The sequence below is a fragment of the Homo sapiens genome, chromosome 10 (assembly GCF_000001405.40).
Source record: "Homo sapiens chromosome 10, GRCh38.p14 Primary Assembly".
Lineage (NCBI taxonomy): Eukaryota > Metazoa > Chordata > Mammalia > Primates > Hominidae > Homo > Homo sapiens.
Window position 1 is genome coordinate 12,619,648 of NC_000010.11, and position 27,121 is coordinate 12,646,768.

Consider the following 27,121-nt stretch of genomic DNA (forward strand, 5'->3'; position numbering starts at 1 on the left):
TGTAGATTCACATACAATTATAAGAAATAATATACAGTGAGATCTCATGTACCCTTTACCAAGTTTCCCCAAATGGTAACATCTTACAAAACTGTAGTACAGTATTACAACCAGGATATTGACATTGATACAAGCAGGATACAAAAGCTTCTGGAATTCCTCATGGTGCTCTTTTGTAGCAAACCCACTTCCCTCCTGCATGATCTCACCCCCTGCCTAACCTCAGGTAACCTGTAGTCTCTTCCCCATTTCTATGGTTTTGTCATTTCAAGAATGTTATATAAATTGAATCTTACAATATGTAACCTTTTGGGATCTTCTTTTTCACTCAACTTTCACTGGAGATTTATCGAAGTTGTTGTATGTATCAGTAGTTGTTCTATTTGATAACTGAGAAGTATTTCACAGTTTGAGTGTACCACTTTGTTTAACCATTCACCAGTTGAAGGACACCTAGTTTGTGTCCAGTTTTTGACTATTAAAAAATAAAGCTCTGCAGTCCGCAGTCCGGCCTGGGCGACAGAGCGAGACTCCGTCTCAAAAAAAAAAAAAAAAAAAAAAAAAAAAAAAATAAAGCTGCTATAAACGTCCATGTACAGGTTTTTGTGTGAACATAACTTTTTATTTCTCTGGGATAAATGCCAGGAGTTCAATTGCTAGGTTGCATGGTGGTTGCATGTTCCATTTGTAAAGAAACTGTTTGGCACCGTGTAGCTGTGTCACTTTACATTCCCACCAGTAATGTGTGAGTGATCGTTTCTCTGCATCCTCGCCAGGATCTGACGTTGCCGTCATTTTGTGATTTTAGCTATTCTCATAGGTGTGTGGTGGTGTCTTATTGGAATATTAATTTGCATTTCCCTAATGACCAATAATGTTGTACATCTTTCTATGGGCCTACTTGCCATGTGTTTATCTTCTTTGGTGAAATGTCGCTTCATGTCTTTTGCTCATGTTCTATCTGGGTTGTTCACTTTTTTTGTTGTTGAGTTTTGACAGTTCTTTATATAGTCTGAATATTCGTCCCCTGTGGGGTATGTGGTTTGCAAATATTTTCTTCCCCTCTGAGTTTGTCCTTTTGTCCTCTTGATGGGGTCATTCACAGAGCAAAAGTTTCTAATTTTGATGAAGTCCAATTTTTCTTTTTGGAAAAAATACAGGATGCTTTTGGTTTCAGTTGTAAGAACTCTTTGTCTTGCCTTAGATCCTAAAGGTTCTCTCTTATTTTTTCCTGTAAGTTTTATACTTCAACTTCTACGTTAAACTCCATGACCCATTTTGAGTTAATTTTTGTATAAGGGGTGAGATTTATACAAAAGAAAAGGTTTACTTTTATTGTCTGTTACTCCAGGTTTGCCTGTTGCCCCAGTTGTTCCAGCACCATGTGTGTATATAAGAGGCTGTCTTTCTCCACTGAATTGCTTTTGCATCTTTATCAAAACTCATTTGGGCTTAGACATATGGGTTTATTTCTGTGTTCTCTATTCTGTTCCATCAGTCTGTGTGTCTATCCCCCTAACAGTACCACACTGTCTGATTACTGTAGCTATATAATGGGTCGAGTAGTCTTATTCCTCCCACTGTTGTTTTTCAGAGTTGTTTAGCTATATTCTAGTTCCTTTGCCTTTCATATACATTTTAGAATAATCTCACTCATGGCTACAAAAATTTTTTGTTAGGCATTGTGCTAAACCTGTATGTCAGCTTGGTGAGAATTGGCATCTTTACTATGTTGAGTCTTTGAATCCATGAATATAGTATGTCTCTCCACTTATTTAGATCTTTGGCTTCTTTCATCAGCATTATGTGGTTTTCATTATGCAAGTCCTATAAATGTTTTCTTAGATTTATACCTAAGCATTTTCTTTATTTTCAATGATTGTAGATGGCATTTTAAATATTGGTATAAATGTTTGCTTAGATTTATACCTAAGCATTTTCCTTATTTTCAATGATTGTAAATGGCATTTTAAATATTGGTATAAATGTTTGCTTAGATTTATACCTAAGCATTTTCTTTATTTTGAGTGATTGTAAATGGCTTTTTAAATATTGGTGTCCGTATGTTCATTGCTAGCATACAGGACTTCAGTGGACTTTTGCAAATTGTTCTTGTATCCTGCAACCTTGCTGAACTTACTTTTTAGTTCTAGTTGTGTGTGTGTGTATGTGTGTGTGTACATTCCTTGTATTATCTTGTGAAACCCTGGGTGTTAACCTTCTATGTTAGATGGCTTTTGCTGACACTGCTCCAGGAGAAGAAGGGAGTGGGTATTGCCTTGTTACTGCCAGGTGGAGTGAAACCCAGGTTTCCCACTAGGCTTCCATGGTCACCTGCTCGGGGAGCTCCTTCCCACTGTGCAGTGGGAGTAGAATTCTGGCTTCCTCAGTGTCTCCACAGCCACTGCATGTGGCGGGGTTAGGCCTCGTTACTAGCCATTAGGGACAAAAGTCTCAGTTTCCTCTTTGGCGTCTTTGACTCCACCATGGTTGACACCACCAGGCGTGGGGGTCCCCTTGGTACAGCCTTGTGAGGTGGACACCTAGGCCCCTGCTTGGCCTTTGCTGCTGGTGGTGGTGGGCCATATTTTGTTCCTGTAGGATTTGGCTGGAGTTGAGCGGTTGTTGTCTGCAAGTTTGTCTTGCTAGGCTGCCTTCCCCTGGTCACTGGGCTAGAGAGAAAGTAGGCTTTTGTGGGGGGCTGTTTTTGGTCTGAGCCCATTGGTGTTTCTGGATTGTTACCTTTTCCAGCTCTGTATCTTGGATACGGGAGGCAGAAAGTAAACTCAGGGGTCTCAGTGCCAGGTTCTTCTTTGGATCCCAAGATCCCTAATCCCATCTCTCCACCTGGCAGCATCATGTTACATTTGGGATGTGTGTGTACGTGTGTGTGTGTGTGTAATGTCCAGAGTTTTCAGTTATACTTAGGAAGAATAGAGAAACATACTTCTACTCCTTTTTGCAAGTGGAGGCAGACAGCTGGATTTTGAGCCCCATGGTTTAGCACCCAGGTCCTTGTCCTTAATCCATGTGCTCTTGGTCTCCCTGAAAGGAGACAAACGCTGCCCTGGAGCGGCCCGGGAGGCTTTGGTGGCATCAGTCAGACCTAAGCTCGTCAGAAAACTTCCCAGCTTTTGAAAAGCTGGGGAAGAAGGGGAATTTTTCTTCCTGAAATAGCCTGAGTAGAGGGGAGGATGTAGGAGTGAGTAGCGTGTTTGAAAGAACAGGAGAGAACTCGGCCCACAACAGTCAAGGCTTGTGTGGGGAACAAGCACTGTGGTGTAAAGCGCCTTGCTTCAGAGATGAGGAGCCCAAGGTGGGAGTCACTGCCTTCCCTCCCTCCAATCGTCCGTCCCGTCATCTCATCTCTCCCATCTGCCCTTCCCTTCGCCCTTCCCTCCCTCCCTCCCTCCCTCCCTTCCTCCCTTCCTTCCTTCCTCCCTCCCTTCCTCCATCGCTCCCTCCCTTCCTTCTTTCCTTCCTCCCTCCCTTCCTCCCTTCCTTCCTCCCTCCTTTCTTTCCTTCCTCCCTCCCTCCGTCCCTCCGTCCCTCCCTCCTTTCTTTCCTCCCTCCCTCCCTCCCTCCCTTCCTCCCTTCCTTCCTCCCTCCTTTCTTTCCTTCCTCCCTCCCTTCCTTCCTCCCTCCTTTCTTTCCTTCCTCCCTCCCTCCGTCCCTCCCTCCCTCCCTCCTTTCTTTCCTCCCTCCCTCCCTCCCTCCCTCCCTCCCTTCTTTCCCTCCTTCCTCCCTCCCTCCCTTCCTCCCTCCTTTCTTTCCTTCCTCCCTCCCTCCCTTCTTTCCTTCCTTCCTCCCTCCCTCTCTCCCTCCCTCCTTCCTCCCTTCCTTCTTTCCTTTCTCCCTTCCTCCCTCCCTCTCTTCCTTCCTTTTTCCCCCTCAACTTTTTCCACATTTATCGGACCACAAAAACTTTTGTCATGGAATAATAAATAACATTCTGAGGAACAAACTTAGGGAAACCGCATCATGAAACAAATGGTTGCCCTGGAGAATTTGGGCCTTTACCGGTAGCTTAGGCTGAGTGACACACATTTTACATACATGCTCCCTTTTTTTCCCCCCCAAAATAGCATTTTACTTTATTTTGCAAAAGCAATAAATGTTATTTAGAAACCCTTTTAAATTGCAATTAAGGGCCGGGTGTGGTGGCTCACACCTGTAATCCCAGCACCTTGGGAGGCAGAGGCAGGTGGATCACTTGAGGTCAGCAGTTCAAGACCAGCCTGGTCAACATGGTGAAACCCCGTCTCTACTAAAAATACAAAAATTAGCTAGGCATAGTGGCGTGTACCTGTACTCCCAGCTATTCGGGAGGCTGAGGCAGGAGAATTGCTTGAACCCAGGTGGCAGAGGTTGCAGTGAGCTGAGATCTTGCCACTGCACTCCAGTCTGGGTGACAGATTGAGACTCTGTCTCAAAAAGCAAAACAAAACAAAAAACTGCAATTAAGGAAAAGACGAAGAATCACCATAATCCAATGTCTTAGAAAAAAATCATTCTTAGCATTTTGATCTGTATCATGAGTATATCCCCATATGAGAGTGTGTGCGTGTGTGTGTGTGTGTAAATTTTCTTATTCTAGTCTATTTCAGTAAGAACCTGTAATAGATCTACCCTATTAAAATTTTAGATGTGCAATACATTATTGTTGACTACAGTACAATGTTGTAAGGCCGATCTCTAGAACTTATTCATCTCGCGCAACTAAAACTTTATGATGTTGATTAAGTAACTGCCTAATTTCCCTCCCGTCAAGTCCCTGAAAACCACCTCTCCACTCTCGGATTCTGTGAACTGGATTATCTTAGATACCCTGCGTAAGTGGAGTCATGCAGTATTTGTCCTTTTGTGACCGGCCCATTTCACTCAGATGATGTCTTCAAGGTTCATCCATGTTGTCACCCTGCAGAATTTCCTTCTCTTGTAAGGGTAAATAGTAGTCCACGGTTTACCACATTTTCTTTCATTCATCTGCCCTCGGACATTTAGCTGTTACACCTCTTGGCTACTGTGAACCTCCTTCCTTTCCTTTTTTTACGGGGGAGCCTGTCTCATTTAGAGAAATACATTTCATTTTGATCCAGGTGAGGCCAATTCAGCTATAGTGATGTTTGCTTCCCATTTCTCTTGAACCCCTTTAAGCCTCCATTTCTTCATTTTACTCCTTTTACGGTTGTTGTGAAAATTAAATGGCACAGCAGGTAGGGTATCCAGGACCATGCCTACACACAATGGGTGGCCCAGGTTTCCTGGCTGACAGAATCTTCTCATACCTATGCCCCATTTCTTTCTTCCCCCTTCTCCTTCTCTTCCTCCTTCTCCTTCCTCCTCTTTCCTCCTCCTCCTCCTCCTCCTCCTCCTTTCTTCTTCTTCTTTCGAAACAGAGTTACCTGGCTGGGCATGGTGGCTCATGCCTGTAATCCCAGCACTTTGGGAGGCCAAGGCAGGCAGATCACCTGAGGTGAGGAGTTCGAGACCAGCCTGGCCAACATGATAAAACCCCGTCTCTATTAAAAATACAAAATGAACTGGGCGTGGTGGTGCATGCCTGTAATCCCAGCTACTTAGGAGGCTGAGGCAGGAGAATCGCTTGGACCTGGGAGGCGGAGGTTGCAGTGAGTGGAGATCACAGCATTGCACTCCAGCCTGGTGACAAGAGCGAAACTCCATGTACAAAAAAAAAAAAAAAAAAAAGTAAAGAAACAGTTATCCAGGCTGGAGTGCAGTGGCATGATTATCGTAACTCACTGTAACCTTGAACTCTTGGGTTCAGGTGATCCTCCTGCCTCAGCCTCCTGAGTAGCTAGGACTACAGGCATGCACCACCACGCCTGATTGATTTTTATTTTTATTTTTGTAGAGACGGGTATGCTGCCCAGGCTGGTCTCGAACTCCTGGGCTCAAACAATCCTCTCGCCTCCGCCTCCCAAAGTGCTGGAATTACAGGCATGAGCCCCCACGCCCCGCCCCTCTGCCCCATTTCTTACTGTGTAATGGTGTGTGGTTTGCCTCAGCTCTCTGGTTCCAGCCACCCTCAGGGAAATCTGTGCAGGGCTTGCTTTTTTAATGTGTGTATTCAGTCAGTCAGATTATAGTAGACTCCTTACACGTCTTCACTTGAAGTTTTAAAAGATTCGTGAAGATTACATTTGAACGTGTCTAGGATAAATGTCACATTACAGTAAATCTGGAAGTCTAGACTTCTGAGGCAAAAGCCATGCACTTGTATAATATTAGACCTGTAGGATCTGTAGAAAACAGCCAGTTTAATCCCTTGGGTTCGATTTTTCTTGTTTTGTTGATTTTATAGGAACATTAATATATATTCATCATAACAAGTCAGATGACACAAATACATATGTCAAAAGTTATATCTACTGCACCATCTCTGTAATCTTTAATTCCTTTTCTCTGAGGTGTCTGATGTTAACATTTTGTTTTTAACCAGTCTTTTTTTATACTCATAATTCATATGCATATGTGATTAGTTTTCTTTTATTTTAAATGAAAGCTATGTCATACTCATACGACACCAAAACTATCTTTTTGCATTTAACAATACAAATAACATTAACAATAACAATTTAATAACATGAACATTCTTGTGAGTCTTTTGCATTAATTTAAATTTTAACTTTATTTTTATCAAATCAATATACATAGTTTTGAAAATCAAATAGTGTCGCTAGACTTACAATGAAAAAGAGTTCTTTGCTCCGTTCCTTCCCAGCTCTTTGATTCTGTCTCCTCAAAGAGATTCACTTTGAATTCTTTACATTGTTTCTTCTAGTATTCACCAATTTTCTTTCTTTCTTTTTTTTTTTTTTTTGAGATGGAGTCTCATTCTGTCTCCTAGGCTGGAGTGCAGTGGCATGATCTTGGCTCACTGTAATCTCTGCCTTTCAGGTTCAAGCGATTCTTCTGCCTCAGCCTCCTAAGCAGCTAGGATTATAGATGCATGCCACAACATCTGGCTAATTTTTTGTATTTTTAGTAGAGACAGGGTTTCACCATGTTGGCCAGGCTGGCCTCGAAATCCTGACCTCAGGTGATCTGCCTGCCTCGGCCTCCCAAAGTGCTGGGATTATAAGTGTGAGCCACTGCACCCAGCCTATCATTAAATTTCTTAAAAATTTATTTCTACTACTATTTCTTGATTCATCTGTTTTAGAACATCATCTACTGATGTTGTACTAACTAGAGGATTTAGCTCATTTATCCAGTCACACAGACACACGCAAATACGTGTTGGTTAAATCAAAGATCAGCATGTGTATTATTATGACTGTATAAATAATGTTCACAGCAAAATCATAAGATATATTGATTACACTTTCTTGCTTGAACCTCTTTTGTTTTCCTTTGTAGTTACTGATTACCTTTGTAAACATTGTAATGACCTCTTATGGGCTATAATTTTTTTTTTTTTTTTTTTTTGAGACAGAGTCTTGCTCAGTCGCCCACACTGGAGTGCAGTGGCTCGATCTCCGCTCACTGCAAGCTCCGCCTCCCGGGTTCACACCATTCTCCTGCCTCAGCTTCCCGAGTAGCTGGGACTACAGGTGCCTGCCACCACGCCCAGCTAATTTTTTTGTATTTTTTTAGTAGAGTTGGGGTTTCACCATGTTAGCCAGGATGGTCGCGATCTCCCTGACCTCGTGATCTGCCCGCCTCTGCCTCCCAAAGTGCTGGGATTACAGGCGTGAGCCACTGCGCCTGGCATATGGGTTATAATTTATATATAATAAAATATATCCACTTAAAGTACACAGTTATCTGAATTTTTGGACTGTTATATACTTGCAGATAATCATTACCCCAGTCAAGGTATAGAATTTTTCCATAGCCTCAAAACATTCCTTTATGTCTCTTATTAGTTAATTCTTTCTACCCACTGTCCTGTACAACCACTCATCTGATTTGTATGGCCACATATTATTTTTGTCTGTTCTAGACTTCATGTAAATGGAATCATAGAGCACATTTTTTTTTGTATCTTTCACTCAGCATAATGTTTTTGAGCTTCATTCATGCTGTTGGGATTGTTCTTTTTCACTGCATGTATGAAATTCCTTTGCATAAATGTAACACGAGGTGTTTATTCATTTACCTGTTGATGAACACAGAAAAAAACAAGGCCAGGTGCAGTGGCTCACGCCTGTAGTCCGAAATTTTGGGAGGCCGAGGCAGGCAGATCACAAGGTCAGGAGATCAAGACCATCCTGGCTAACATGGTGAAACCCCCTCTCTACTAAAAATACAAAAAAATTTAGCCAGGCGTGGTGGCGCACACCTGTAATCCCGGCTACTCAGGAGGCTGAGGCAGGGGAATCGCTTGAACCTGGAAGGCAGAGGTTGCAGTGAACCAAGATTGTGCCACTGCACTCCAGCCTGGGCGACAGAGCAAGACTCTGTCTCAAAAAAAAACAAAAAACAAAAAACAAAACAAAACTGAGTTTTTCCCAGTTTCAGGCTATTAAGTTAAAGCTGTTATGAACATTTGTATTCAAGTGTTTGTGTAGACCTATGTTTTCATTTCTTTCAGGTAAATATCTACGAATGGAATTGCTGGGTAATTTGGCACATATGTGTTTAACTGTTTTCCAGTGGGGTTGTACCATTTCATTCCCTCCAGTAATGTAAGATAGTTTTAGTTGCTCATTAATCCTTGGTGTTGTTGGTCTTTTAAATTTTAGCCATTCTAGTATGTACTAGTGTGGTCATGGCTCACTGTGTGTGTGTCTAATTAATAACTTTGTCTTATTTTTACTTTATCATAGTCTAGCAGTTTTCGGTTTTGAGAAAAATTGAGTGGAAAGTACAGGGAGTTCTCATATACCCCCAACCCAATTTGCCCTATTATTAACATCTTGAATTAGGGTGGTACATTTGTTATAATTGATAAGCCAATATTGGTATTGATGAGCGGTACATTTGCTATAATTGATGAGCCAGTATTGGTACATTATTATTAACTAAAGCCCTTAGTTTACATTAGGGTCCACTCTTTATGTTATACATTCTGTGGGTTTTGACAAATATATGACATGTATCCACCATCATAGAGGCCTGCAGAATCGTTTCACTGCTATACAAATCCTGTTTTCCACCTGTTCTTCCCTCCCTTCCCCTTCTCCTTCCAATCTTTGGCTGCCACTGACCTTTTCACCGTCTTCATAGTTTTACCTTTTCTATAAGGTCATATAATGGGAATCATACAATATGTAGTCTTTCAAGATTGGCTTCATTCACTTAGAAATGCACAGTTAAGTGGCTTGATAGCTTATTTCTTTTTAGCACTGGATACTAGTCCATTGTCTAGATGTACCACAGTTTACCTGTTCACCTACTGGGGGACTGTGTTGCTTCCGGGTCTGGGCAGTTGTGAATAAAGCTGCTGTAAATGTCTGTGTGTATTTGTTTGGTGGGGACAGAGGCCAGCTGCCAGCATTCTGGGAGCTGAGCTTGGGTGAGGCGGGAGCTTTTGTTCAGTGGCTTATTTTCTCTAAAGTGCTTTAATCTCCACTCCACTGTATGCAGTAATCTTCTTAGAGAGCAAACCTCTGGGCTTTCTTCAGGACAGGAGGGGAATCTGAGGATCTGAAGAGTCCTTTTAAAGACTGATCCAGTCCTGGTTTTAGCCTTACCTTTTGGTTTCTAAAACTATGACTATGCAATCAACTTTGCACTCGATGTAGTAAAAACGTTTCATGCCAAGGTGTTGAAAGGCCAAAATGACAATAAACACGTTTACATAAAAATATAATGTGCATCCGGTGAAGATGCAGAGCTAAAGGTGAGTCCTTTCTTCCAGATTCTTGTGTGTTGTCCCCATGTCGAGGTTGTCAGACTATTACAGGGAGCAAAGTTAGAGGCCGTGGTGTGGCTGTGAAGTGAAAAGCTGATTGTGTGGGAGGGTCCTGATTATAGTCATCGCAGACAAGGACGTGTTCTCCACCTGTGATTTTGTTTCAACCTCTACATTATCTCCCAGAAGTGTGCCAAACTGTAATTCTCACAATATCCAAGCTGATGTTTTTTAGTAGTAGGTTTCCTGATAGCATTATAACATTCATTTCTCTGGGCTCAAGCCATTGTTTCCTCGTAGCATCCTCAAAAGCAAGGGGTTCTGGATACAGAAGGAGGAGAACATCCATTGAGACCTTCGAGTGGGTCCTGACCCTGTGATTGTCTTGGATCATGTCTGTTGATGCCTCCCAGGGCAGTGAATGAACAGCAAGAGGGGACAGTGATGAGTTCAGTCCAGTGATGTATACGATAGACTGCAGTGGATGGAGGCAGGGCTGCAGCTCTCTGAGAGATGGTCTGTTCCGGAGAGGCTGAGGTCAGAAGGACAGTGGGACAGGGAGGCACCTGAGCCCCGTAGGGTGGCCTCTTGGCTTGGTTTTGGGTGTGATTGGACGAGATGGCCTCTACAGTTCTTTCTAGCCATAAGGATGTAGGATACTAAAAATGAAGCCCCATCTCTTCACCCTGATATTCGAAGCTGCTTATAACCTGGTTACTTCTTACCTAACTTTCATGCTCCGTCTTCTTCCCAGCATCTTCTCCCTAGTGAGCGCATCTTTGTCCTCAAGACCTTCTCTCTTTTGTTTCCCCTTAAATCCCCCTTCTGCCCACCCCCACCGCGTATATATTGTGACTTGTTTTCTTATCCAAATTCTGCTAAGATTTACTTTCTTTTTCTTTCTTTTTTTTTTTTTTTAAAAAAAAGACAGGATCTCACTCAGTAGCCCAGGCTGGAGAACAGTGGTGTGATCATAGCTCACTGCAGCCTTGAACTCTTGTACTTGAGTGATCTCCCTGCTTCTGCCTCCTGAGTAGCTGGGACTATAGGCACTCACCACTCCACCTAGCTAATTTATTTTATTTTATTTTGTTTTGCTTTGTTGTTTTATTTTATTTTATTTTATTTTCTAGAAATGAGGTCTCACTATGTTGCCCTGGCTGTTCTTGGATTCCTGGCCTCAAGTGATCCTCCCACCTTGGCCTCTCCTCCCAAAGTGCTGGGATTCGAGGCGTGAGCTACTGCCCCTGGCCCTTTGCTCTCTTTATCTTACCAGTGGAGCTTTCCTTGTGACCTCACGTCCTCCGTACCTCCCTTCTTTGAGTTCCTATTGGACCTGCTTCCTGCACTGCACAATGTAGCAACTTGTAAAATGCCATTTTTAGGGTGGGAGGCTGTGGACTTCAGAGGGTGCACCCAGGGATCAGTGAGGGACAGGAGGACCAGATTGCCTTATGATCCTCAGGATTCCACTTGAGTGCTTGGTGATGCATTATCTTACGACATAAACACACAAACAGAAGGTAGGAGAAGCTGTCTCAAGGGTGCAGCCTTTCCTTGGAAAGTATGCAGTGATTTAAGTGTTCAGAGATTGGCACAGACCCTTTGAATCTATGCACGGCCATTCTCACAGTGATTTTTGTGTGTATAAAATATTGACCATGAAACTGGGTAATGGAGTTGAGAATAGATACTTTAAGGAGGGTGGCGCTGCTTAGGAAAAAAAGGTTTCAGACTATTGAGTGTGACTTTTGTGAGAAATGGGAAAGTTCTTCAAAGATTATAAAAAGTCACTTTCTTACTATAAGATTGCTATCCACTATTAGTACAAATATATGTATTCCAAATCAGCTGTCCTAGCTTGCTGCAGCATGCCTGGACAGAACTAGACAAGCTCCGCCCATAGTGCATGCCATTCCTTATTTGGAGATGCTCCCTTAACTATCCCTGGGCAACTTCCCTTTCTTTCTTTGTTCTGTTCTCCTTACCTAATTAATAAAGTTTTAAACTAATAGCCAATCAGGTAAAGTGTAAAATGTGAGATCCTATTCCAGCCAATGGAAACTGGACACAGCAGTAGGGTAGACGTGTCAGGTTATAAATAACTCTGTCTCCTTTGTTCAGTGTGCTCTCGTGGCTGGACAGCTATTGAGTAGCACCCTTTCTGCAGAAAGTAAAGCTCTCCTTGCTGAGAGATCACTTGTTCCCACGTTAATCCTTTTTTTTTTTTTTGGTGACATCAAAAGCTTCATTCCCAACACTTTGAAAAGCCAAGACATGGTCCTTCATCATGTAGGGGCTGTCATTCAGAATTGGGAACAATTCTGATCGTGTAAGTGCTCCAGGCAAATAAAGTGATATGACAGGATAGAGCGTGAGGAAAGCACTTTCCACTACCTGAAAGTTTCTCCAGGAGGCTGCAAACACATGAGAGCAGACCGTGTTTCTGTCTCTCTTCCCAGCCCTGGCACACAGGAGGTGCTCAGTAAATATTTGTTCAATGAGTGAGCGAATGAACCGAGCTCTTAACGCACCACACCGTGCGAAGGCTGGTGTTGTCACTCCAGCTAAACCCATCCCTCTGTGCTGAATGAAGGCCCCGTTGCTTTGGTTGATGGGCAGTGTCTCCACCTAACCAACGTCTCATTCAACTCACTACAGGCTTCCTGGTTTGCAGACTTTGTTGCTAAGATTCGCATCCCTTCTTGAAATCTTTCTCCCAAATCTTTCTCTCCCATTTAACAAGTGATTATTTTAGATGAGGGAAGGGGAGTCAGAGACTGTTTATGAGCAGAAACTGGAAATTCAGGGAGCCAGCCATGCAGGATCTAGGGAATGAGACTTCCAGGCAGGGGAATAGGAATGTCACGGCCCTGAAAGGGTAAGAACTTTGGACCCAGTTGGAGAACAGCAAGAGGGCCCGTGGCTGGAGCAGAGGGAGGGAGTTGAGTGGCAGAACAGCTGATAGGGTCGGATCAGGGTGGGCCCTTGCAGGCCATTGGAAGAAGCCTGGATTATATTCTGATGGCAGAATATGACCTTTCAGCATCATTGTCTGATTTAGCTGTTTTCTCCTATATATATTTGAACCTTACAGAAGCCTGGGGTAAATAAGTCAGGTGTATTTATTTCTGTTTTAGAGATGAAGAATATGAAACTCCAAGAGTTTGGAGGGCTGGGACCCAGATCTTTGGACTGCTCATGTGTTCAGTGTCTTGTTTTTTGTTTTTGTTTTTTCTTTTTTTAGACAGTCTCACTCTGTTGCCCAGGCTGGACTGCAGTGGCATGATCTCGGCTCCCTGCAACCTCCAACTCCCTGGTTCAAACGATTCTCTTGCGTCAGCCTCCCGAGTTGCTAGGATTACAGGCACGCACCACCACGCCCAGCTAATTTTTGTATTTTTAATAGAGACGAGGTTTCACCGTTTTGGCCAGGCTGGTCTCAATCTCCTGACCTCATGATCCGCCCACCTCAGCCTCCCAAAGTGCTGGGATTACAGGCCTGAGCCACGGCGCCTGGCTGAGTGTCCTGTCTTATGCTGCCTCATGCTCAGGTTGAAATGTGAGTGTTGCCTGACTTGGTGTCCCCGTGAGGCCCCAGCAGGCTGACCTGCAGTGAGTCAGTCGTTCCTGCTCTGATAGTTACACAGGAGCTGAGCGTGGCGGAGAAGCCATGCGTTTGGATATTGGTTTCATCACTGGAGTGTCATGTTTAGTTGTGGCTGCCACACTTTGGGAGAAGATGGGGAAATTGGAGAGGTACCAGAGAGGAGCAAAAAATAGATGAAAGGATGCATTAGTGGTCCCATGGGAGGAGGTTAATGGAATCCAGGCATTTGTATTTCTTTTTCCCTGAGAAGAAGCTCTGAGTGGTGAGGCAACAGTGCTCCTCAAATAACCGAGGTTTCTGGCTGGTTCCACCTCATCTCCATGGAAGATTGACCTGGAGAAGGTCAACTTCAAGTGCAGCGATAGAGAGCACCTGGGCATGATGCGCTTATTAACAGCGTCCTTATATCCCTGAGCAGACACTCAGGGTGGCTGTAGATACTCGGTTCCGAGGGCTCCGTGAAAACTGAAGAGTTACTCTTTTCTTAATTTTTTGAGGTAGCATCTCACTCTGTTGCCCAGGCTGGAGTGCAGTAGCACAATCATGGCTCAGGGCAGCCTCAACCTCCTGGGCTCAAGCGATCCACCCACCTCTGCCTCCCCAGTAGCTGGGACCACAGGCACGCACCATCATGCCCAGCTAATTTTTATCTTTTTGGTGGAGATGGGGTCTCTCTATGTTGCCCAGGCTGGTCTCGAACTCCTGGGCTCAAGTCATCCTCCTATCTCTGCCTCCCAAAGTGCTGGGATTACAAGCGTCAGCCAACTTTCCCAGCCAGGAGTTACTCTTTTTAAAAGGTAGGCACAGGCCTTTGTGAGGGATGCCCTGACCCTTTTGCAGTGGTTTGACTCTTTGAGGCCGTGGTCCGTGGAGTTTGAAACCTGCACAGAAAGAATATTTCCCGAGTCTGGCACCACCTGGCTTTAGTCAGAGGGATCACCTGAGCTGCTCCAGTCCTCTCTCAGCGGCTCCTGGGGAATTGGGAGGGGGGCTGAGGCATGCTGGTGAGATTCAGGGTGCACTGGCATCAGCTCACAGGAGTTTTTTCTGTCTCTTGAAGAGTGACTTTCAGTCCCATCCTGGGTAAGAACAGCTGTTTTGCATGTTGCTGAGTAATTTCTTTGCAGGTCCTTGTGTCCTAGCATCGTCCTTTCTCACCTGCCTTTATTCTGTTTCACGCTGCACAGTATGGAGTGTGCAGTGATTCATTGGGGAGAGAAGAAAATAAAACCAAAAAGCCCATCTGCTTTGTCAGGAGACACCTCCAAACACAGATGCTCCCTCATCCTCCTACAGCAGCTGTTTTCAGCCACACCTCTGGGCTCAAGCCATCCTCCTGCCTCTGCCCCCAAGTGATCATCCTGTTGTCCCACCCATTGTCCCGTAAGCAGGAGTTCAACAGGGACAGAGCGCGGGGTGGGAGGTGGCTGGAATCATCCCATGGCTTAGTGGTGTGGGGACTAAGGAACTATTGTTCCCTCTCCAGCTGGAGCTGCACATCCATTTTCTGCTGTCAGATGCCATCCATGTAGGAGATGCTCCTTCCAGACAGCCCCCCAGAGCCGCCTGGCTGACCTTCCACTCCCGGGCTGAGTGTCACTACGAGTCTTGACTTTCTCGTCATGCTGGTGTTTCACAACCTTGTAGCTAGAGTCCGGTGCAGCTTTTCTTCCTGCCGGCCCATCAGCTTTCGCTTCTCTCTGCCGCTGGGAGGCAACATCTCGGGGTTCTCCAAGGGGAGGTCTCACCTTGAATGAGTCTGGCATTTTGAGGTCATGATGGTGGCCGGGATTCTGCCCATGTTCAGTGGGACTTGGGTGGCAGCACAAGCAGATGAGGCTTGGTTTTGTTCCATTCTTTGTTTAGTTGCTCACTCATTCCTTCATTTGGCAGATGCCATATACTGTGCTGGAAGAGAGGATGCAGCCGTGACCCAGACAGACAAAGTCTCTGTTTTGATGGGGCGTATGTTGGAGAGTGGAGGGGCAGGGACAGTGGATGATCAACAAGATAATTTTGGAAGCTGATAGGAGCTGTGGGGAACATGAGAGAGGTTGATGTGGGGTGTGGTGGAGGAGGAGAGTTTGGGGGCTCGGGAGGCCTTCCTGTGGGTGGCATAGTGAGAGCCTGGGTATACCTGCCCCGTGGCTGCCCAGGTCTGACCCGGAATCCGGTTGTGTTGGATGGTACCACTGAGAATCGTCATTTCCTGGGACTTCCCATCCGCTTTTCTTGAGAAAGTCACTGCCCTTTTAAGTTGCTTGTTTGTTTTAGTAAACGTAGTCAATGAAGCAGTGAGTCAGTGCAAAACTGTTCAGATGTCACCGATGGGAATAGGTTAGATACAAAGTTGTGTTCATTCACCAATGGCTTGTTGAGTACCCCCTAAGCCCACGGCGCAGTGCAGGAGCTCTTAGATTCAAAGAACTCTGGTCTGGGGGAGGGTGGAGGTGTGAGGATTCCTTTAGAAGAGAGAAGGGACCCACGCCATCTTGCTGGGGGGGAAGAGGCCCTCTGCCTTTCAGATCTATCGGTTCATGGCTTTGCAAATATCAGTATTTGCTAAAAATGAGGCCTACAGATTTTAATGTGGCAAAACGGATTTTATTTCTGAATGTTAACCAAGTTGAGGTTAGGAGTAATGATCTGCAGTGCGAAAAGGGGGTTTTTATCTTATAATGATTAATTCTTTTCTTCCTTCCCTTCTAAAAAAAATGTGATTCCTGATAAAACCTGATGTTTCACTTTATATTTAAATGATACTCCATTGAGCATTTTATTAGTAACAATTCAGTACTTAAATTGCATATTTCAGTTATAAGAGACAATTCACTAGGCTTGCAAGAAAACTATCCTATTTAAAGTAGGAGAAATCTCCCTCTTGATTACTGTGGAGGTTTCTTCATCTAGACATTTTAAACACTTTCCAAACAGTCCTTGCAGTTTTTCTTTTGTATTGTGGCAAAATACACATAACATACAATTTACCATCTTAGGCATTTTTAAGTATCCAGTTCAGTGGCATTAAGTACATTTCACATTGTTATATGATCCTTACCACCATCTGTCTGCAGAGCTCTTTTCATCTTATAAAATACCCTTGGAGGTTTTCCAGTTTCTCTTGCTAGCAGGTATGTTTTAGTTAAGGCAATATACCAGGTTTAGTTAAGGTGCTATACCAGGTATTTTACACATAATCTGATTGAATTCTCACCATAATCCTCTAAGGGGCATATTATATATGTGGTTTTTGTTTTGTTTTGTTGAGACGGTATTTTGCTTTGTCACCTGGGCTAGAGTGCGGTGGCACGATCATAGCTCACCGCAGCCTTGACCTCTGGGGCTCAAGCGATCCTCCCACCTCAGCTTCCTGAGGAGCTGAGACTACAGGTGTGTGCCACCACACCAGGCTATTTTTTGTATTTTTTGTAGTGACGCAGTCTCACTCTGTTGCCCAGGCTGGCCTCAAACTCCTGGGATCAAGCGTTTCTCCCACCTCAGCCTCCCAAAGTGCTGGGATTGTAGGCCTGAGCCACTGTGCCTGGCCTTATATGCAGTTTTCGCCAATGAGGAAACAGACTGAGAGGGGTTGAATAACTTGTTTGAAGTTATACAGCCAGCAGATGTCGGAATGGGCATTTGGACCCAGCTTCCTCCAAAGCTGAGGCTTTTTCTGTTGTTCCACAGTGATTTTCAGTTAGAAGTTTTGATTCTGGCATCTTGCCTTCTGTCAGTAACTGTTTTCAGCACAGAACAGAATACTGTTCACATTTTCTCTGAATATTGGACATGCTTCCTGTGTACTTCAGTGTTCTTGCTCAGGAAATCTGAGGAGCCACCGAGCACCAAAAGAACAGGCATCTGTAAAAGCAACTCAGAATTAAGACCATACTTTTTATTTTTATTTTTTTGATACAGTCTCTCTCTCTCATCCAGGCTGGAGTACAGTGCCTTCATCTCAGCTCACTGCAACCTCCACCTCCCGGGCTCAAGCCATTCTCCTGCCACAGCCTCCCAAGTAGTTGGGATTATAGATGTGCACCACCATGCCCGGCTAATTGTTGTATTTTTAGTAGAGACGGGGTTTCACCATGTTGGCCAGGCTGATCTTGAACTCCTTGCCTCATGTGATCCACCCGCCTCAGCCTCCCAAAGTGCCGGGATTACAGGTGTGAGCCACTGCGCCACGTCCATACTTTATTTCTGAAGATAATTTGGAAACCTATATTTCTAAAATACGACTACTGTAGATACTTCTAGAACATTCTCCCTCTCTCGAAAGTCATGCGTTTGTTCTCAACTCTCACAGAAGGAAGTAGGTCCCTTCAGTGTTGCGATTACCTTCCTGCCTGTTGAAGACAGCCTCTGCGTCTTTCTTTAATGCAAACGCATGGACGTATGACATCCATTCACTTCTTTATCTCATCTGTGGCCAGCAGGGTGTATAGAGGCAGGTTGCAGAAATGCCAAATATTTCCCAAGGTCCCAGGCAGAATTCCTGGTGGTAGTGCTACTGGATTTGCTAATGTAAAGATGTCCTGATTTTGGGAGGGCGGGGGTGGGAAGTAAGCATACAATTGTGCAAATATTAGTAATCTCTTTTATTCTTAGAAGATACAGTCTGTTGAAGAACATGGTGAGGAATTGGCAGGAGAGCATCCGTGACTCCTTTAGCCTTTGTGAGGCTGTGGTGCTATATTGAGGCGGCTCACTCAGATGGGAACACCAACCATATGGTGGAGAAGGGAAGGAGACGTGTTCTTTCTCTAGTTTGGCATGCAAATGAGAAAGAAAGCGCTGCAGAGGCACAAGCTGGCTTCTCATCTCAGCAAGCAGAGGCAGGCCACCGATGTCCAGCCTTGTAGCCTCATCCTATCCACAGCCCGGCCCGGTAGCCTCATCCTATCCCCACCCTGACCTGTGCCTCTAGTGACCACAGGCAGCTGAATGGTGGAGGACGGGGGGATTCCGATATCCTTGTATTAGGAGGGGCCTCAGAGAAGGGGAGGCCATCTTCTGGGTTTGCTAGAAGCCCTCTCTCCACCCCAGTAACAACTCACTCTTTGACTGGAAGTACAATGAAAAGGGCTAGGGGGTGGGAGGGGCCAGGCTTCTAGCAGATGTTTCTGTTTGCCTCGTGTGCAGAACCACAGCTTCCACTGCCTGGCCCTCCCAGGTCTCTTTAGCAGCTGGGCGTGGTCTGGATAAAGTCCATACTCTAAGCCTGCTTGCTATTCACGCTAGCTGTTCTTTACTGTATCCCTCCACATCTACCCAGCCTCCGCCTCCTCTCCCCATCCTTTTATAATCATACCTCACTAAACCACCTGCTGTTCCCATTGCACTAAGCTCTCTACCACCTCGGGCCTTTTACAGAGGCTTTTCCCTCTGCATGGAGAACTCCGTTCCCGTCACCCCTCACTCTCTTTCCTTGGATAAATCCTGCTTGTTCTTCCTCTCCATCCGGAAGCCTTCCCTTGGCCCCCGACCCTGGCCAGCCTCCCCCTTTGTGAGCTCCTGCAGCACTGCACCCTCAGTTGGATGCCGCCTCAGAGTAGCCTGCTGGCTGGAGTCTCCTTAGACATCCTGAGGGTTTTAGTCATAGCCATAGCCCCAGAGTGCAATCGTGTCTGCTGCAGGGCTGGCCGATTGCATCCCACGTAGGCTGTGCAGCCCCACCTGTCTGCCCCTCATTTTGTATCACCAAATCTATAAATGTGGAAGAACAGTGGGAGTGAGCGAGGGGGTGAGGTTCCCCATCTTCCTCTGGGAGGGTGGAAAGGCGTTCACCTCCGTAGTCCCCGTTGGTGTCCCTCTCATCCCCCCACTTCTCTCCGCATCCTTGTCACAGTCAGCGGTGGCTCTGCCTGGCTTGCTGTCTTCCTTTCTCCTCTTGGAATGTCGTCTTCGTGAGGGCGGGAACCTCATTCCTCTGGTTCCTGCTTTGGCTTCAATACATAGCTCATTCCTGGGCCGTGGAAAGTGATCAGTATCCATTTGAATGTGTATGTGAATTCATTCAGTGGGCAGTGATGTACAGGACCTCCCGCCTCAGAAAGAGAAAGTCCCCTTTCTATTTTCCTGCTTTAGCAATATAGAGAAGCTTTTAAAAAGACCTAATCAGGCCGGGTGCAGTGGCTCACGCCTGTAATCCCAGCTCTTTGGGAGGCCAAAGCGGGTGGATCACCGAGGTCAGGCGTTCAAGACCAGCCTGATCAACATGGTGAAACCCTGTGTCTACTAAAAATATAAAACTTAGCCGGGCATGGTGGTGGGCGCCTGTAATCCCAGCTACTCGGGAGGCTGAGGCAGGAGAATCACTTGAACCCGCGAGGCGGAGGTTGCAGGGAGCCAAGATCACGCCATCGCACTCCAGCTTGGGCGACAGAGCAAGACTCTGTCTCAAAACAAGCAAACAAACAAACCTAATCAGAACCAGAAAGGGCTTTAAGCTCATCCTTGCTTAAATTTTTTTTTTAAATTTAATTTTTCCCCCCAAACCCAAGGAAGCCTCAGGAGCATTTTCGTCTGCATTTTCTCTAGCACACAATCACGTGTAACCTTGTTTTCAAGGAGAGCCTAATGTTTATCTACTTTATAATTAACATTTTGTTTTTCGGTGTCTTTTATTTGTTTAGTGATATTGATTTGCATACTGTTGCTTTAATTGCTTGATAATGTAAGCCCTTAGATGCTTCTCATGATAATGCTTCTGGAAACAGATTGTTATTTAACAATCAAATGACTAAGTGGATATATATATATATTTTTTGTTTGTTTGTTTGGGAATTCTTTTTGTGTCTCTGGAGTTCAAGGGGAAGCTTCTATGCGCCTGGAATTCTACATGGAAACTCTTGTAGCTCTGCTCGCACAATTGCTGATTTCTGATAGCACCAGCATCTCACATTCTGTGACTTTAATGAGAAGGAAAAAACTTGTAATGTCATGTTCTACGAAGCTCCCCTTTTGGAAGACAGAAACTGACAGATGTCCTTATTTTTATTCTGCAGAATAGCTCCTTCCTCTCGAAGAATCAGCGCTCCTAGCCCCAGCAATTTCTCCTCTTAGAAAACTCTTCATTTGCTTTGCTTGAGAGACTCCAGCTTGGGAGTCTGTTTCTCCAAATTTCTGATTTTGTTTGCTGGCAGCTTGCCCCCACCCCTTCTGGTTCAGCAGAGCTTTGCCCAAGTTGCAGGTTCTGTCAGAAGGAGTGGGGAGAAGGAGAAGGAGTTTAGAATCTCAAAATCCTGGCTCTGTGGTATTCAGCAAGTTAATGAACCATGTCTGTGCCTAGGTCGTCTCACTGCAAGAATAGGAATTGTAATATCTTCGTCACAGGTAGGCCCTTGATAAGCTAGCACGGTGCTTTCAACACATTAAGTACTGTGTGTATGTTGTATGGATGGAAATGAGCCTCATTTGGGGATCTTATTTGCAAGCCTATTGAACAAATAACAGCTATGAAATTTCAGAAGCAAATGGTACTTTATTTTCTCTGTGGAAACCTTGAAGGAAACGGGTAAACAGATACTTTTTTTTTCTTATGTGAGCTATAAGTAGACTATTTGCATCTCCCTGTAACTGGTAAAAAGAACACTTTACACTTTACACAGTCTCAGAGAATATTCCTGACCGAAGCTGTCATCCGTGCCGTGCTGTGTGACATGTTGTGACCGAATTTGCTGTGGGAGGCCTGCCTCAGCCTTTACCCCAGTGAATTCTGCAAACATGATTGGTTTTTTTCAGTGTGTGGAAACAGGAAAAACATTGGGAATCTCTGCTCTCAACTGCATATTCTAAGTACATTCTTTCTTTCAAATCAATTATGAAGAATAATTTATCGGTAATTACAGATGTCTTTTGGCTTAAAATACAGTTTTTTTGTTTTTTTGTTTTGAGACAGAATCCCACCTTGTTGCCCAGGCTGGAGTGCAGTGGTGTGATCTTGGCTCACTGCAACCTCAACCTCCCTTGAACCTCCTGGGTTCAAGCAATTCTCCTGCCTCAGCCTCCCGAGTAGCTAGGATTACAGGAATGTGCCACATGCCCTGCTAATTTTTGTGTCTTTAGTAGAGAAGGGGTTTCACCATGATGGCCAGGATTGTCTCGAACGCCTGATGTCAGGTGATCCACCTGCCTTGGTCTCCCACAGTGCTGGGATTACAAGCGTCAGCTACCGCCCCCAGCCTTAAAATACAGTTCTGATAAACTATTTTGACTTTTTAAAAAATTAGTGAATGTTTAAAATAATAGAAATGTGGCTGGGCACGGTGGCTCATGCCTGTAATCCCAGCACTTTAGGAGACTGAGGCAAGAGGATGGCTCAAGCCCAGGAATTCGAGACCACTCTGGGCAACATAATGGGACCCCATCTCTACTAAAAATACAAAAATTAGCTGGGTGTGGTGGTGTGCACCTGTAGTCCTGGTTGGAAAGCTGAGGTGGGAGGATCATCTGAGCCTGGGGAGGTCGAGGCTGCAGTGAGCCATGGTCTCACCACTGCATTCCAGCCTGGGTGGCAGAGTGAGATCCCCATCTCAAAAAAAAAAAGCAAAGAAAAAAAGAGAAACATTTAAACTGATGACAAAGTTTTGATGGTAAGAAATAAGTTGGTCCTTGACAGATACTAAAAGTGTGTCACTGAAGAGATGAGTGTTCAAAACCTTAAGAAAAGGACGCAGTGGGCAGGTGCAGTGGCTCACGCATGTAATCCCAAAACTTTGGGAGGCCAAGGCGGGCAGATCAGTTGAGGCCAGGGGTTTGAGACCAACCTGGCCAACATGGTGAGACCCCATCTCTACTAAAAATACAAAAATTAGCAGGGCGTGGTGGAGGGCGCCTGTAGTCCCAGCTACTCTGGAGGCTGAAGCAGGACAATTGCTTGAACCCAGGAGGCAAGGTTGCAGTGAGCCAAGATCACGCTACTGCATTCCAGCTAGGGCGACAGAGTGAGACCCTTTCTCAGAATAAAAAAAAAAAAAAGAAAGAAAAGGCCGCAGGCTTTTGCTTTTTTACCTGCTAATTAGATTGCTAAATCCAGAAAAATAATGGGCATGCAGTTATATTGAATTTCCAGCAAAAGGCGGCACAGGTGAAATCGGGCTGCGTGATGACGCATCATGCTGCATTCATCACATTTCTATACTAATTGTGTGCTGGCCTGTGGATGGGTTCAGAGGGATTTCCTGGAAGTCAGGGTCAAATGCCATTTGTTCCAGCACTTTCAGGGCCTGGCATGTAAGTGTTCAGTGGATGATTCTTGAATGAATCGTTGACTGTCCTTGTAGATGAGAGAGAAAAATAGGGACTAAATAGTGCTGCAGTTACACGATGGATGATAGCTGAGCAACCACACACCAAGGCTGCTGAGCAGTGGATTGTGTCAGGGTTGGGGGGTAGCGGATAAACCCAAAAGGAAATTTCTTGGGATTTTTCCCAGGACTGGGTCAGAGCATACTCTTTCCAACATTGAAAGAAAATAGCTTGGATCCACCCATGGAAGACCTGCTTATGAAGTTTGCATACAGCCAGAAGGTGGATCCAAAAATTCCTACCAATAATGAGAGATACCATAAATTCATTTTATCTAATACTGATTTCTTTTTTTTCACATTTTTATGCTTTTATTTTAATTTTACCACTCACCCTCTTTTTAGTTTATTTTAGGGTTTGTAATTCTGATTGGGTCTTGACAGTGTAGAAGAATGTTCTAGAGTCATTTCCAGCGAGTGTTGGGAAATATTCTGTAAAGAAAACCTAAGAGTTTTTCCCAGTATACTTGAGATAAAATATATGTAAAAATGATGAGTTAAAAGTAGTCCTGGGAGGGTAAGTTACAGACCTTTTATTTTTTTCTTAAATGATTATGAAAATTAGGGGTAACTTCTTTATTCTCCTGACTAAATTACATTTTGGTTTGTTGTTGTTGTTTGTTTGTTTGACACGGAGTCTTACTCTGTTTCCTGGGCTGGAGTGCAGTGGCGTGATCTCAGCTCACTGCAACCTCCGCCTCCCGGGTTCAAGTGATTCTCCTGCCTTAGCAGCCTGAGTAGCTGGAATTACAGGCGCCCCCCACCACACCTGGCTAATTTTTTGTATTTTTAGTAGAGATGGGGTTTCACCATGTTGGACAGGCTGGTCTCGAACTCCTGACCTCATGATTCACCCGCCTCAGCCTCCCAAAATGCTGGGATTACAGGCGTGAGCCATCGTGCCCGGCCACATTTTGTTTTCATGCAGTCTGTGTGAACTTGCCTTATTGGGCCATAGCAGGGGTCCCCAACCCCAGATACCCTATCTGTGGGCTGTTAGGAGCAGGGCTGCACAGCAGGAGACGAGCGGCAGGTGAGTGGGCGAAGCTGCGTTTGTATTTACAGCTGCTCCCCATCCATCACCCGCCTGAGCTCCGCCTCCTGTCCTATCAGTGGCGGCCTTAGATTCTCGCAGGAGCACGAGCCCTATGATGAACTGCGCATGCGAGGGATCTAGGTTGTGTGCTCCTGATGAGACTCTAATGTGTGGGGCTAGGTGCGGTGGCTCACGTATGTAATCCCAGCAATCTGGAAGGCCGAGGTGGGTGGATCACTTGAGGTCAGGAGTTCAAGGCCAGCCTGGCCAATACAGCAAAACCCTGTCTCTACTAAAAATATAAAAATTAGCTAGGCATGGTGGGGCAAGCCTGTAATCCCAGCTACTCAGGTGGCTGAGGCACGAGAATTGCTTGAACCTGGGGGGCGGAGGTTGCAGTGAGCTGAGATCATGCTACTACACTCCAGCCCGGGCGACAGAGTGAGACTCTGACTCAAAAAAAAAAAAAAAAATCTAATGCGTGATGATCTGTTACTGTCTCCCATCACCCCCAGAGGAGATTGTCTAGTTTCAGGAAAACAAGCTCAGAGCTCCTCCTGATTCTATATGATGGTGAGTTGTAGAATTATTTCATTATACATTACAATGTAACAATCATAGAAATAAAGTGCACGATAAATGTAATGTGCTGAAATCATCCCGAAACCATCTTCCCCTGAGCCCTGTCCTGGTCCATGGAAAAATTATCCTCTGTGAAACCAGTTTCTGATCCCAGAAAAGGTTGAGAACCACTGGGCTGTTGGAGTTCCCCGTAAACTTCCCGCCCTATGGTCCCTCTCACTGTAGCTGTCTGAGTAAAACAAGCAGGGCAGAGTTAGCTCTCTAAGTTTCCCAACGAAAACAAATGTTCCTTTTTCCATTAATGTGAGTCAAAAAAATAAATACAACCCAAACCCAAGGATTATGTTAAGTGACTAAGCCTTTGACACCAAAAGTCAATTCCCTTCATTTTTTGCGACCCATCAAAGAACTCACAGCGTCTTAATGTGCCATCAAAATTAATCTTTCCTTGTCCAAAGCACTTGACCCATACACTAGAGACCTCAGTGCCTCTTCTCAGAGGTTGGCTCTTCTTAGTTTTCTCTCCCTGGTCACTGCACCTGGCGATGCTTAGTTCATGCTTAGTGGGGTTCCTGGTGAGCCACAGGATCCCCAGCTCTTAGTCATCTGGGCTTTGGAGCTTCCTCTAGAGCTTCAGTAACCTCCAATACGGAGGCTTCCCTCTGCTTCTAAAGGGGCTTCTAGCCTTTTCTACTGAATTAAACATTTTCCTTACTGGCAGTGCAAGCTGTGATTCCTATCTTAACTCCACAGAGAAAATGACTTTCAACATTATTTTTTCATAAGCCATTACAGGTTAATATTAATATCATGTTAATATTCCTATAAAGCTATGTTAAAAGGATCTCTTCTTTATCTCCAAAGAAAGTAGAAATGTGTGTTCAATGGCTTACCTAGAAATTTCATGTTAGGAATAGATGACTAATATACAGAAATCTAAGTGGGTTTACTTGAAGGTTAGGTAACCTTCACAGTGGTTTGAATTTGTGACTTTTTTTTTTTTGCAAAGCAGTTGCTTTCTTAGCATATCTCATCTTTCCCATTTACTTCAGTTGTCTTAGAATCACTCCAAAATTCATATCCTCCTCTGCCTTCTTTGTTCTTTTCACATTTTTAAGTGGTTGAATGTTTCCATGAAGTATATGAGGCTCAGTGAACATGTTCCCACACTTTGTGCTTGACAGGAGCAATCATTTATCCCCTACTATTTTTGGTCAGGACTAATAATGACATTCATTATTGGGCTATTATTTAAAATTTTTTTCTAAGCCCACATAAGACATACACTTCTATTTTTGTTTATACTTATGGAAGAGTGTAAGAAGTCTGTGAACGTCTTCACTTGCTGTCTGTATTAATTAGGATGTCCTTGATCATAAGCAACAAAGTACAAACGTCAAATCGGCTTAAGTGACATGTGGGATTCACTGGTTGACGTATCTGGTCTCCCAGAGATAGGGTGGGCTTATGTTAGAATTGATTCAGTAAAACAACGAGATGAAGAGCTGGGTCTCAGCCCTGCCGTTTGCCTGCTCTCCACAGCTTCCGTGACATAATCACTTCCTTCTTGGGGTCACAAGATGGCTGCCGGTGACGTCCAGAGCCATTGCTTTCTTGTTTAAGGCTGGCACCAAGTGCTCTAGTCCTATGCAGAGATGGAGCTAGCGTTCCCCAAAACACAAGCTGTGTGGGGGTGATGTGGCTCACCAAATGAAAATCAAGAACGTAACAAAGGAAAGAGAGTTGGACGGCTGATGGGCGCCGCCATCATGTCTGCCACGCCATCTGAGTATTTAAAAAATAGCTTAGCAGCAATGCATCTAAAAATGCTGCCTGTGAGATCAATGTTCCCAAGAAAATGTAAAAGTTAATTTCTCTTCTTTCACCGTGAGGCTGTCTGACTTTAAACTATTTTCATACTACTGGAAGAATTTCTGTGATTTCTCATAAATGGCTAGTTGTTTTTTTTTTTTTTTTAAGTAACTGAAACATTGTAAATAGTATTTCTGTTTAGAATCTTCCACTGAACAGAAAATAAATTGCTATGGGAAGAATTACTTACTTAAAAAAATTCTGTCAATCCTTTTTATGCAGAAGCTGGATAAAAACTTGAGTCCTTGGTATAGGAGGTGATTTCTGAAGCAAAATATTCTTGTAATTGATTTTAAAAGATTTTTCCCTAGAAAGTTATGTTAGGATAGTAATTTCCTAAAATGTTAGCCAGCATTTGAATATTCTTTCATCTTAATGTTTCATAGCTTCTGTCTCACTTCTATGGCTCCAAAGAGAACCGTCTCTGAGCACAATTACAAACAAATTTTTACAAATCTTGTTATATAGCTTGTATTATTATAATATTACAGAAATAGTAAACGTTTTTTTCTCTGGAAGAAAATTACTCATCTTAAAGAAACGTGGAGAAATATATCCACATTTCATTTCAGAGACAGTTGATGGGGCCAGAAAGAAGTGAGCTTAAGAATGAGACAGTCATAGGTTTTGTTCCAAGATGTGCCACAGAGCTAACAGTGAGACCTTGAGAAAATGACCGAACTTCCTTGCATCTCAGTTTCTCCTTGTAAAATAGGGATAATAGACCCCTCCCCTAGGGTTTCCAGTAGTCCACATAAGATATTGAAATGAAACGTGATTAGCCTGGTATCCTGCACATACTAAGCTCTGAGTAAATGATAGTAATTACCAAAAACACAGGACTGAACAAGAAAAGAAATAGCAGAATCCAACTCAATTATAGGACA

General features: G+C 44.3%; 1 protein-coding gene across 7 annotated transcripts in view, besides 1 other annotated feature; it reads left to right on the plus strand.

The window, feature by feature from the left end:
* The window catches only part of CAMK1D (calcium/calmodulin dependent protein kinase ID), a 485,999-nt gene that overhangs the window by 270,101 nt on the left and 188,777 nt on the right, over positions 1–27,121 (plus strand). The window lies entirely within an intron of this gene.
* Positions 19,083–19,583: an enhancer, noted in NCBI's record as "H3K4me1 hESC enhancer chr10:12680729-12681229 (GRCh37/hg19 assembly coordinates)". NCBI's record gives its function as "activates a minimal SCP1, AML or CMV promoter by ChIP-STARR-seq in primed H9 embryonic stem cells {active_cell/tissue: H9 hESC(primed)}" and the evidence as "EXISTENCE:reporter gene assay evidence [ECO:0000049][PMID:30033119]".